This window comes from Homo sapiens, chromosome 17, assembly GCF_000001405.40.
Source record: "Homo sapiens chromosome 17, GRCh38.p14 Primary Assembly".
In the NCBI taxonomy this organism is placed as follows: Eukaryota; Metazoa; Chordata; class Mammalia; order Primates; family Hominidae; genus Homo; species Homo sapiens.
Window position 1 is genome coordinate 48,822,719 of NC_000017.11, and position 13,117 is coordinate 48,835,835.

Genomic DNA, 13,117 nt, shown 5'->3' on the forward strand with positions numbered 1-13,117 from the left:
GATTCTCTTTGACCAAACTTTAGTTAGGCTCCTCTGAGCCCTCTTTGACCTTGGGCTTCCATGTCTGTCCTTACTGAGTCTGATTTTAGCAAGAATCTTTTTTGCTTTTTGGCTTCTTTTTTTTTTCCTTTTTGTGAAGAACCGAGTCTAGCTATATTGCCCAGGCAGGTCTCAAACTCCTGAGCTCAAGCTATCCTCCTGCCTCTGTCTCCCTAAAAGCTGGGATTACAGGCGTGAGCCACTGCACCCAGCAGTTTTGGCAACATTCTTAAGGCAGTTTAAAGAGAACCCTCCACCCTTGATAACTGATCACCCTCAAAAACTGATCAAATTCCTCACCCCCCACTCTTCTTTTTTTTTTTTTTTGAGATGGAGTCCTCACTGTCGCCAGGGCTGGAGTGCAGTGGCACGATCTCGGCTCACTGCAACCTCCACTTCCTGGGTTCAAGCAATTCTCCTGCCTCAGCCTCCTAAGTAGCTGGGACTACAGGTGCCCGCCACCACGCCCAGCTAATTTTTTGTATTTTTAGTAGAGACAGGTTTCACTATGTTAGCCAGGCTGGTCTCAAACTCCTGACCTTGTGATCCTCCCACCTTCACCTCCCAAAGTGCTGGGATTACAGGCATGAGCTGCTGCGCCCAGCCTCCCCCACTCTTCATATGTGATCAATCTCTAGCCTGCCTTTGGCAAGAATCCTGTTAAGTTGGTTTAGCAAGAATCCCGCCCCCCCACTCTTGATGTCTCCTCTTAATAATTTTCCATCCGTGGATTTTCCTCACTCTGCTCCTTAGCTATAAATCCCATTTGTCGTTATTGTATTTGGAGTTGAGCACACTCTTTTTCACCTATTGTAATGTCCCTAATGCAACAGTCCTGGATGAAGTCCTCCTTACTATTTTAACAGGCTTCAGAATGATTTTTTCTTTAACATCTTTCCTATGAAGCCTTCCTGCTTGCCCCTAGGAAAAATTGATTCTGTGCTCTCTTAGCACTGTGTAAAAATTCCTTTTCTAAAGCCAATATCTTGGCCGGGTGCAGTGGCTCACGCCTGTAATCCCAGCATCTTGGGAGGCTGAGGCAGGCAGACTACCTGAGGCCAGGAGTTCTAGACCCACCTAGCTAACATGGCGAAACCCCATCTCTACTAAAAAACATAAAAATTAGCTGGACATGATGACATGCGCCTGTAATCCCAGCTACTCAGGAGGCTGAGAGGCAGGGAGAATTGCTTGAACCCTGGAGGCAGAGGTTGCAGCGAGTGAGCTGAGATCGCACCACTGGACTCCAGCCTGGGCAACAGAGTGAGACTACATCTCAAAAAAATAAATAAATAAAACCAATATCTTGTGGTATTATAGTCATTTATGTGTTTGTCTTCCCTTATAGCTTGCTGAATTCTTCATTAAAAACATAATGAGGACAGTGGTTAAGAATGGGGCCAGGCGAGGTGGCTCACACCTGTATCCTAGCACTTTGGGAGGCCGAGGCAGAAGGATTACCTGAGGCCAGGAGTTCGAGACCCACCTGGCCAACATAATGTGAGATCCCATCTCTAGATAAAATAAAAAAATTAGCCAGCTACATCGGGTGCGGTGGCTCACGCCTGTAATCCCAGCACTTTGGGAGGCTGAGGTGGGCGGATTACGAGGTCAGGAGTTCGAGACCAGCCTGACCAACATGGTGAAACCCCATCTCTACTAAAAATACAAAAATTAGCTGGGCCTGGTGGTGTGCACCTGTAATCCCAGCTACTCAGGAGGCTGAGACAGGATAATTGCTTGAACCTGGGAGGTGGAGGTTGCAGGAGCCGAGATCACACCATTGCACTCCAGCCTGGGCAACAGAATAAGACTGTCTCAAAAAAAAAAAAATTAGCCCGTTACAATGGTGCATGCCTATAATCCCAGCTACTCAGGAGGCTGAGGTAGGAGCATTGCCTGGGCCCCAGAAGTTGAGGCTGCAGTGAGCGGTGATTATGACACTGAACTCCAGCCTAGTGACAGAGTGAGATCCTGTTGTTACTGGAAAGGAGTCCTGATCCAGACCCCAATGGAGGGTTCTTAGATTTCCAGCAAGAAAGAATTCGAGGTGAATCCATAGAGTGAGAGCAAGTTTATAAGGGAAGTAAAGGAATAAAAGAATGGCTACTCCATAGGCAGAGCAGCCTGGTGGGCTGCTGGTTGGATATTTTTATGGTTATTTCTTTCTTGCTTTCTTTTTTGAGATGGCATTTCACTCTTTTGCCCAGGCTGGAGTGCAGTGGCGCAATCTCGGCTCACCGCAACCTCCACCGCCCCCCACCCACCCAGTTCAAGTGATTCTCCTGCCTCAGCCTCTCAAGTAGCTGGGATTACAGGTGCCGCCACCACGCCCGGCTAATTTTTGTATTTTTAGTGGAGACGGGGTTTCACCATGTTGGCCAGGCTGGTCTCGAACTCCTGACCTCAGGTGATCCACCCGCCACGGCCTCCCAAAGTGCTGGGATTACAGGTGTGAGTCACTGAGCCCAGCCTCTTTTTTTTTTTTTTTTTTTTTTGAGATGGATTCTCGCTCTGTTGCCCAGGCTAGAGTGCAGTGGCGTGATCTCGGCTCACTGCAACCTCCACCTCCTGGGTTCAAGCGATTCTCGTGCCTCAGCCTCCCGAGTAACTGGGACTACAGGCACGTGCCACCACGTCCAGCTAATTTTTTGTGTTTTTAGTAGAGACAGGTTTCACCGTGTTAGCCAGGATGGTCTCGATCTCCTGACCTTGTGATCCTCCCACCTTGGCCTCCAAAAGTGCTGGGATAACAGGCGTAAGCCACTACGGCCAGCCCGTTATTTCTTGATTATATGCTAAACAAGGGGTGGATAATTCATGAGTTTTCTAGGAAAGGGGTGGGAAATTCCTGGAAATGAGAGTTCTTCCCCTTTATAGACCATATAGGGTAACATCCTGACATTGCTATGGCATTTGTAAACTGTCATAGTGCTGGTAGGAGTGTCTTTTAGCCTGCTAATGAATTATAATCAGAGTATAATGAGCAGTGAAGACGACCTTTCATCGCCGTCTTGGTTTTGGTGGGTTTTGGCTGGATTCTTTACTGCAACCTGTTTTATCAGCAAGGTTTTTATGACCTGTATCTTGTTCCAACCTCCTGCCTCATCCTGTGACTAAGAATGCCTAACCTCCTGGGAATGCAGCCCAGTAGGTCTCAGCTTTATTTTAGCCGGCCCCTATTCAAGATGGAGTCACTCTGGTTCAAACACCTCTGACACTGACTCTTTAAAAAAAAAAAAAAGTGAAGGGTACAGTACTGGAGTCAGAATGCTTTGCTCAAATTCTTCTGATGGCACTTATTAGCTATGTGAGCATGGGAAAATAATTTTATGTCTCTAAGCCTTGCTTTTCTCATCTATAAAATGCGAATAATAAAAATACTTCCCTTAGAAGAATGAAATGAGATAATCTACTGTGTCATGCACAGAGTAACCACATACCGCCTCAATCTTTTTTTTTTTTTTTTTTTTTTTTTGCCCTGAGACTTAGCAGTTGAAGATAGAAGTGAAAGATTTTCTCTGTAGGTCTGAATATAAATTCCTATTCCTTCCATATCCAGTTATAAAGGGTTGCAGCTACAGCCCTCCCACGACATTTCTATTAGAAATAAATCAGATTAAGGCCTGGCTCAGTGGCTCACGCCTATAATCCCAGCACTTTGGGAGGCCGAGATGTGCAGATTGGTTTTGTTTGTTTGTTTGTTTGTTTGTTTTTAATTTTGAGATGGAGTCTCGCTCCATCACCCAGGCTGGAGTGCAGTGGCGAGATCTCAGCTCACTGCAAGCTCCGCCTCCCGGGTTCACGCCATTTTCCTGCCTCAGCCTCCCGAGTAGCTGGGACTACAGGCGCCCACCACTGCGCCCGGCTAATTTTTTGTACTTTTAGTAGAGACGGGGTTTCATCGTGTTAGCCAGGATGGTCTCAATCTCCTGACCTCGTGATCCGCCCGCCTCGGCCTCCCAAAGTGCTGGGATTACAGGCGTGAGCCACCGCACCCGGCCCGAGATGGGCAGATTACTTAAGGTCAGGAGTTTGAGACCAGCCTGGCCAACATGGTGAAACTCCGTCTCTACCAAAAATACAAAAATTATCTGGTCATGGTGGCATGCACCTGTAATCCCAGCTACTTGGGAGGCTGAGGCAGGAGAATCACTTGAGCCCAGGAGGTGGAGGTTGCAGTTAGCTGAGATCACACCACTGCACTCCAGCCTGGGTGACAGAGCAAGACTCCATCTCAATAAATAAATAAATAACTACATAAATACATAAATCAGACTAGCCTGGGCATGGTGGTTTATGCCTATAATCCCAGCACTTTGGGAGGCTGAGGCAGGAGGATCACTTGAGCCCAAGAGTTCGAGACCAGCCTGGGCAACACAGTGAGACCCCATCTCTACTTAAAAAAAAAAAAAAAAAAAAAAAAAACAGGTGCAGTGGCTCATACCTGTAATACCAGCCAGCACTTTGGGATGCCAAGGCGGGCGGATCACCTGAGGTCAGGAGTTCAAGACCAGCCTGGCCAACATGGTGAAACCCTGTCTCTACTAAAAATACAAAAATTAGCCTGGCGTGGTGGTGGGCACCTGTAATCCCAGTTACTTGGGAGGCTGAGGCAGGAGAATTGCTTGAACCCAGGAGGCAGAGGATGCAGTGAGCTGAGATCATGCCACTGCACTCCAGCCTGGGCAACAGAGGGAGACTCCGTGAAAGAAAAAGAGACAGAGAGAGGGAGAGAGAGAGAAAAATCAGACTAACTGTTTTATTTTGTGCTATTGAATTTAGGTGCTGAAAATATCAACAAAATAACCTGTTGATAAAACAAAGTCTAGTTTATCCTTACTGCAGTGAGAAGAGCACTACTTTGACAGAATTGTGGAGGCTCAAAGTAGGGAGCACATAGTGGTATATACTGAGTCTTTGAAATTTGGTTTAAGTGTAGGCTCTTTCAATGCGGGTTGGGGGTTGATTAGGATGGGGTAAGGATCATGATACAATCATTTAGGACTGGTAGACACAACAGAGTATTTTGAGGCCAGCGGTTGTATAAACACCCAACGAGTTCTTGTCCACTGCTCAGAGAGAGCCAATTTATCAAGACAGGGGAATTGTAATAGGGAAAGAGTTTAATACCCATAGAGCCAGCTAAATGAGAGAGCAGAATTTTATTATTATTCAAATCAGTCTTTCTGAAAATTTGGAGGCTGGGTTTTTTAAAGATAGTTTGGCAGGCAGGGGGCTAGGGAATGGATGCTGCTAATTGGTTGGGGATGCAATCACAGGGGTATGGAAAATATTTCTTGTGTGCTAAGTCTGTTTCTGGGTGGGGAGTCACAGGACCAGTTAAGAGTCCTGGGTTCTGGTGGAGCCATCTGATTGTCAGAAATGCCAAAGTCTGAAAGGATCTATCAAGAGGCCAATCTTAGGTTCTACAATAGTGATGTTATTTATGGGAGTAATTGGGAAAGTTGTAAATCTTGTGACCTCCAGAATAATGGCTGGTAATCATTTAACTATGCCAACACGTTAGCAGAATTCAGGCCCCTCTCATAATTCTAAATCTGTGGCCTTTTATTAGTTTTATAAAGGCAAGTTTGGTTTTTTTTTATTTTTTTCTTTCTGAGACAAGGTCTCGCTCTGTTGCCAAGGCTCGAGTGCAGTGTGCAATCACTGCTCATTGCAAACTCAAACTCCTGGGCTCAAGTGATCCTCCTGCCTCATCCTCCTGAGTGGATGGGACTACAGGCTGGAGTGCAAAGGTGCAATCTCGGTTCACTGCAACCTCCGCAATCTTGGTTCACTGCAACCTCTGCCTCCTGGGTTCAAGCGATTCTCTTGCCTCACCCTCCCAAGTAGCTGGGATTATAGGCGCCTGCCACCATGCCCAGCTAACTTTTGCATTTTTAGTAGAGATTGGGTTTCACCATGTTGGCCAGGCTGGTCTCAAACTCCTGACCTCATGATCCGCCCGCCTCGGCCTCCCAAAGTGCTGGGATTACAGGCGTGAGCCGCCATGCCCGGCCAGCCTTCATTTTTAATTTACTGAAATAGTTATCATGTTAATGTAGACAATAAGCTGTGTGGGTGCAGATGGTTTTCATTCTCAGTGCTTTTAGAAAATCTAATAAGTAAAATTAAGGGAAATGTATCCAGGATACTGAGGGCACTTGTCCCTGCAGACCGAGTTTAAAATGGAAGATATTATTTTGGTAACTCAGAAGGTGATTTGAACTTTAGACGGATGACCCACTTCCTGGCTTACTCATCATTTCCCACCATCCGTTCATCTCAGTTGAATGCCACCAGTCTTGTGAGGAAGCAGATTAGGAATGCTCATTCCCGCTGGGTGTGGTGGCTCATGCCTGTAATCCCAGCACTTTGGAAGGCTGAGGCTGGTGGATCACAAGGTCAGGAATTCAAGACCAGCCTGGCCAATATGGTGAAACCCCGTCTTTACTGAAAATACAAAAATTAGCCGGGCGTGGTGGCGGGCGCCTGTAGTCCCAGCTACTCAGGAGGCTGAGGCAGGAGAATCATTTGAACCCGGGAGGTGGAGGTTGCAGTGAGCCCAGATCATGCCACTGCACTCCAGCCTAGGCGACAGGGCAAGACTCTGTCTCGACAAAAAAAAAAAAAAAAAAAGGAATGCTCATTCCCCTGCCTGAGATGGCACAGAAAAATTTCTTTCCACATTTAAACAGTGGAAGAAGGGGCACTTCCAAATTTAATCTTTCATAGACAGCATATACAGCATTTAACATCTTCTGGATGTTAAAGAAAAAAATATTCTGAAACTTGTTAAAATGGCAAGGAAGAATTTATTCAGGACCAAAGGGGAGATTATGCTGCACTCTGAATACAATAATGACAAGTGGGATTTATAGCCAACAAGCAGAGTGAGGGGTCACTGCATGGAAAATTACTAAAAGGAGATTCTTGTTAAACCAACTTAACAGGACTCTTGTTGAAGGCAGGCCAGGGTTATTAGATATTAAGGATGGGGGATTTTCTTTAAATTGACTTAGCAGAATTCTTTTCTTACTGAGTTTATTCTTTTTTTTTTTTTTTTTTTTTTTTTTTGAGACAGGGTCTCGCTCTGTCTCCCAGACTGGAGTGCAGTGGTGTGATCATGGCTTATGGCAGCCTCCACCTCCCAGGCTCAAGTGATCCTACCACCTCAGCCTCCTGAGTAGCTGGGACTACAGGGGCCCACCGCCACACCCGGCTAATTTTTTTATTTTTTGTGGAGACAGGGTCTCCCTATCTTGTCCAGGATGATCTGAAATTTCTGGGCTCAAGAGATCTCCCACCTCGGCCACCCAAAATGTTGGGATTACAGGCGTGAGCTACTGTGCCTGGCCATGAGTTTATTCTCTTTTTTCTTTTTGAGACGGAGTTCAAGGCCAGCCTGGCCAACATGGTGAAACCCCGTCTCTACTAAAAATACAAAAAAATGAGCCGGGCATGGTGGCGGGTGCCTGTAATCCCAGCTACTGGGGAGGCTGAGGCACGAGAATAGCTTGAACTCAGGAGGCAGAGGTTGCACTGAGCCGAGATCGCCCCGCTGCACACCAGCCTGGGCAACAGAGTGAGACCTTGTCTCAAAAAAAATAAAGACTCTTCGTGAAGTAGTGTTAAGTGGACCCAGGAGAAAAATGAAGATGACCTCTTAATGGCCCTTCAAATGTATAAAGCTTTCTCATTCAGGGAAGAAAGACATAAAGATGTAGCCCAGGCGCGATGACTCAGGTCTGTAATCCCAACACTTTGGGAGGCCGAGGCAGCTGGACCTCTTGAGCCCAGGAGTTCAAGACCAGCCTAGGCAACATGGCAAAACCCCATCTCTACTAAAAATACAAAAATTAGCCTGGCGTGGTGGCGGGCGCCGTATGGGCACCGTGGTTGTCCCAGCTACTCAGGAGGCTGAAGTGGGAGGATCACCTGAGCCCGGGAGGTCGGGGCTGCAGTAAGCCGTGTTCGCACCATGGCACTCTAGCCTGGACGACAGAAAAAGAAAAAAGAAATAAAGGTATAAAAGAAAAAAAAGAAAAGTAAACAGCTTCTTCCAGGGGATGAAGTAGGTTTATTTCGGTGAGATTGCTGCTCAGGACTTAGGAGAGCCATCAAAGGCAGAAGACCGCTCCTGGGGCCCGGTCACCTGAACACTACAAGTCCCAGCAAGCGCCGCGCGGGGGCGGGGCTTGCTGACCGTTGTGACGTGTGGGCGGGGCAGGCGGGACGGGCTCTCCCTTGGGTGCTTAGCCCCGCCCCCGTCCCACTCTGCCCTGTTGCTGTCGCGCCGCTGCTGGTTGCTGTCCCTGGTGAGTGCCTCAAGTGGAAAGGGGCAGTTAGGCCCTCGGGGTGCCCACATTCAGACTTGCAGTCCTGAGAAGGGGCCACGGGGGTAGAGGTGTGGCAAGTTTCGGTTCTCACCGCAGTTCACCCTCTGGGGTGATAGTGGGAGTGGTGTTCTGAAGGCCCTGGAGCCCCTCCCGCGGCCCGGGAGGGTTGCGGGGCAGTTTTGTCTTGCGGAGGGCAGCGCTGCAGTGCTGTGTGGCAGGGTGGGAGGCTCCTCGGGAAGAAGTGACACCCCTGGCGGCGGCGAGGGTCTTGAGGCGGCGGCTGCCGCCCCACGGGTCGTGGCGTCCCGTCCCCTCCCGCGGGCCCAGGCTGTGGTGGTTCCGTAATCCCTCGCCTGGATGTCATCGCCGTTGGCTTCGAGGCGGAGGTGGAGCCTTGTTGCGTCACCCTGAGCAAGTTACTTTCTTTTTGGGCCTCAGTGTCCCCCTTTACGAGTAGGTTTGATCCCTGAAGCGCCTTGCCTTTTGCATGCTGCAGCTGTCGGAGAAGACGTTCTAGGCAGGAGGAAAGACGGTGTCGTGACCTGCCTCTACAGTTAATCCATTGCCCCTCCACCACTGACCCAGCTTAGTTTGGGAGCTAATGTTCCCACTCGTATATTATTTCAACCCCACTGGACGTGTTAACTCTTTTCTATCACTTGGATTCTTGCTTCACATGCAAGCCAACAAGTGACCATGGTTGGAGCTGAGTAAAATATGGATAATATAACTTATTCTATTATTGGAAACACCATTGCAAGTAAAGGACTTTATGTGGTAGGTCTTTGTAGCTTGTGGAGAATACATGATTAAGGAATATCCAGATGGCTCAGTTTCCCAGGTATTTTCAAGGGACCTGGAAACTCTATCCTTTGGCAGACATGACAGCTGTGGAATGGAAAGGGCCTTGAAAAAGGTAGTCGATAATCCTGAGTTACCTGGCACTAACAGGTCATATTGTCTTTCGAGTCAGATAGTACATCTGTGGCTCTTTAAAAATTTAATTTGGCTGACTAGGCGCGGTGGCTCACGCCTGTAATCTCAGCACTTTGGGAGGCCCAGGCGGGCAGAATCACCTGAGGTCAGGAGTTCAAGACCAGCTTGGCAAACATAGCAAAACGCTGTCTTTACTAAAAATACAAAAATTAGTGGAGCGTGGTGGCGGGCGCCTGTAATCCCAGCTACTTGGGAGGCTGAGGCAGGAGAATCGCTTGGACCCAGACAGCGGAGGGTGCGGTGAGCCGAGATGGCGCCACTGCACTCCAGCCTGGGCAACAGAGTGAGACTCCGTCTCAAAAAACAAACAAACAAAAATTTAATTTGGCAGTATGTATTGATAGAATGTCATGTATCCTTAATTATTTTTAGATGAAAAGAGAGTTAAATGAACTCTTTCACTTCTTTTTTCCTTCACTTAGGATCATCATTATATCAGGCAAGGTCCTTGAAGATTTTCTAGCCTTAGCCATGCATTTTGCTGATGAGGAAACAGGCCAGAAAAGGGTACTGTGACTTGGCCAAGCTCTCAGAGTGGCAGAACTAAGATAGGAACCCAGCTCCCTTGGCTGTTAGCCTAGTCCCCTTTCCACCACACTTCAAACACTGTCACTGCCCATGTCACAGGGACATGGCATGTTAGAATCACCCCTGTCAAGGGAAAAGTGGATGGTCTCAGTAAAATGGAGATTAGTACACAGCTTTGAGCCTTTCAGAGTTTCCAGTTGCCCGCACCTGATGTCCCAGAACTATTTTTTCCATCTTCCCCTAGAACTGGCGCCAGCACTATGGTGGTGTGGATGTGAGATGAGGGCCTGTTTAGAAAAAGCTGGACAGCAAATTCAAACAATTGTTAATGAGTAGTAATAAAGGCCTCCTGGGGTGTAAAATTTTTGTAAGACACTCTGAAACATTTTCATATTTTAGGTAAGGGTCTAGAATTAACTTGGAAATTTTGGGCTAGAGCAAATGGCTCGATAATTTGAAGACCAGTGATTGTGTCTTTGCTTTTGCTACCTGTTTCAGGGCCATCTACACACACCCATAGTATCCACTGCTGGTATTCTTTAAGGCTGGTTATGTGTAAGCATTTCTGCCATAGCCAGGGAGAAACGGGATTCAAATCAATTCATCCATTTTTGCTAATTGCTAATCGTTTAGAAAGAAAAGTAAGCAGAAGGCCGGGCACAGTGGCTCACGCCTGTAATCCCAGCACTTTGGGAGGCCAAGGTGGGTGGATCACGAGGTCAGGAGTTAGAGACCAACTTGGCCAACATAGTGAAACCCCGTCTCTACTAAAAATACAAAAATTAACCGGACATGGTGGCACATGCATGTAGTCTTGGGAGGCTGAGGCAGGAGAATCACTTGAACCCAGGAGACAGAGGTTGTGGTGAGCTGAGATCACACCACTGCACTCCACCCTGGGCAACAGAGAGAGACTCTGTCTCAAAAAAAAAAAAAAAAGAAAGAAAAAAAGTAAGCAGAAAGATAAAGGAATCCAATTAAATTGGGTTTGACTTTTATCTTTGTTTTTACTGTTCTCAAATGAAGAATTGATTTGCATGTCTTTCTTGCCTGTAGAAGCATTTGATTTCCTTCTGTGAACTAATCTGTAGTCTTCATTTCTCTTGAAATATATGCCCACTGGTATAAAAAAGGCTAATGTAAACATGTTGGCCATTTAAAAAATTTTCTGCTAAAAAACCTATCAGTGTAGTTTGCAGATGCAGTTAGAAAGAGCAGAAGTAGGCTGGGCACGGTAGCTCATGCATGTAATCCCAGCACTTTGGGAGGCCGAGGCAGATGGATCGCCTGAGTCCAGGAGTTCAAGACCAGCCTGGGCAACATGGTGAAACCCTGTCTCTACAAAAATACAAAAATTAGCCAGGCACATGCCTAGGGTCCCAGCTACTCCAACTGAGGTGAGAGGATTGCTTGAGCCAGGGATGTCAAGGCTGCAGTGAGCCACATTCATGCCATTGCACTCCAGCCTGCAAGACCCTATGTCAAAAAAAAAAAAAAAAAAAAAAAAAGCAAGAGCAGAAGTAGAACAGGCTGCTGTTCCTTTTCTTCAGGAAGACATAAGAGGATCTATGTCCTCATGGAACAGCCCTGGGAGTAGTATATTAGGCTTGAAAAGCTCATTAGATGAAGATGTGTCAGGTTTTCTTGGAAGCTAGGAGACAGTTCAGGGGACTCATTTAAAAATACTTTCCCATTATTGCCTGCTCCTCTGAGGGCCCTAATCCTTTTGGAAACTGAGCTGAAAAAAGGTAATGACTATGTCAGAGGCCAAATAAAGTTGCCTCTGACAGTTTGTGGAATTTGTGCATTATTTTACCCATGCTTGATAGTTTTGTTTTTGAAAATCCCTATTTGTTTTCTCTGTTCATTCCTTATGTGGCCAATCTTTGATTTGAGGGTTGGAATAAGGAATTAGGTAAAATACCACTTTATAATTTCTAGGGGACCTAGCTCGTCCCACTAATTTTTCATAACTCAGCAGTTCTCTGGGCTTCTAAATTTAACTTTTGCTCTTATATTTCTTCTCTTTTCTTTACCTCTATGAATTGCTGCCAAGTTAGAAATGGATGGTAGACAGGTTCTATAGTGGGAAAGGTGGTTAAAGGAGGGGAAGTTGATGCTTAAGTCATTTTAATTTTCATGGGCCAGGTGTAGTGACTCACGCCTGTAATCCCAGCACTTTGGGAGGCCAATGCGGGAGGATTGCTTGAGTCCAGGAATTCAAGACCAGCCTGGGCAACATAGGGAGACCCTATCCCTACAAAAATACAAACATTAGGTGGGCATGGTGGCGCATACCTATAGTTCCAGCTACTTGGGAGGTTGAGGTGGAGGGTCACTTGAGCCTGGGAGGTTGAGGCTGCAGTGAGCCATGGCTGTGCCACTGTACTCCAGCCTGGGTGACAGAGTGAGACCCTGCCCCCCCGCAAAAAAAATAATTCTCTTTACATATCTTCCCTCCCCTGTCCACAAATACTCATTTCTAGACTACTTTGTCAGAAAGGTAATTTCCCAAGCCATTGTTGGAGCCCATTTCTCCCAGGAATTTTATCACTGGGAGGAAGGGAAGACTAAAGATTACTGACCTGAAAACTCAGTAGATGCCCTCCCTCCAGGAAAAGCTGGAATACTTCCTCACTGACCAAGTTCGGGTTGGCATGGTTATGTTCTAGTTTACTCATGGCCCTTTGTGTCCACAGCTTGGTAAAAAGGAGAGAAGAGAAGCCACTGCTGTTCTCATCTACTTGCCTCCTCAAACCCTTCCCCAGCCTTGGCAGAGGAGAATTTTAACCTTATTTCAAGAATGATTGAGTTCTCAATACCTCACATGCCATTGGATGCCCTCTGAGTCCCTTCTGGGAAGGTGATGAGATTTCTGAAATGGGAAACTCCATGGGGTCTTTTGCATTTTTGATAAGCAAGGAACCAAAGCTGTTCACTTTTCCAGACAGATTATTAGGTTTTCAGGTGAATGAAAATAGCTAGAATTTCCTTTGACTATACACTCAAGCCTCAGAACATGAGCTCTTTCGTGTTGTCTATATATGTGCTGTCCTTTCTTAAGCGTTCTGCTTATGAGCTAACTTAGATTGGTTGTTTTTCTTTTCTTTTCTTTTCTTTTCTTTTCTTTTCTTTTTTTTTGAGACAGAGTTTTTTGCTCTTGTTGCCCAGGCTGGAGTGCAATGGCATAATCTCGGCTCACTGCAACCTCC

At 46.7% G+C, this 13,117-nt stretch overlaps 1 protein-coding gene across 5 annotated transcripts in view, besides 2 other annotated features; it reads left to right on the forward strand.

The window, feature by feature from the left end:
• Positions 8,317 to 13,117, forward strand: part of CALCOCO2 (calcium binding and coiled-coil domain 2) — a 34,211-nt gene continuing 29,410 nt past the window's right edge. For all 5 annotated transcript variants that reach the window (NM_001261391.2, NM_001261390.2, NM_005831.5 and 2 more), the window contains exon 1: positions 8,317 to 8,360. The gene's annotated coding sequence lies outside the window, so the exon portion shown is untranslated. The remainder of the gene's footprint in view (positions 8,361 to 13,117) is intronic.
• Positions 8,321 to 9,202: an enhancer, noted in NCBI's record as "H3K27ac-H3K4me1 hESC enhancer chr17:46908401-46909282 (GRCh37/hg19 assembly coordinates)". NCBI's record gives its function as "activates a minimal SCP1, AML or CMV promoter by ChIP-STARR-seq in primed H9 embryonic stem cells {active_cell/tissue: H9 hESC(primed)}" and the evidence as "EXISTENCE:reporter gene assay evidence [ECO:0000049][PMID:30033119]".
• Positions 8,573 to 8,732: a silencer, noted in NCBI's record as "silent region_8661". NCBI's record gives its function as "represses an Ori minimal core promoter by ATAC-STARR-seq in GM12878 lymphoblastoid cells {active_cell/tissue: GM12878}" and the evidence as "EXISTENCE:reporter gene assay evidence [ECO:0000049][PMID:35858748]".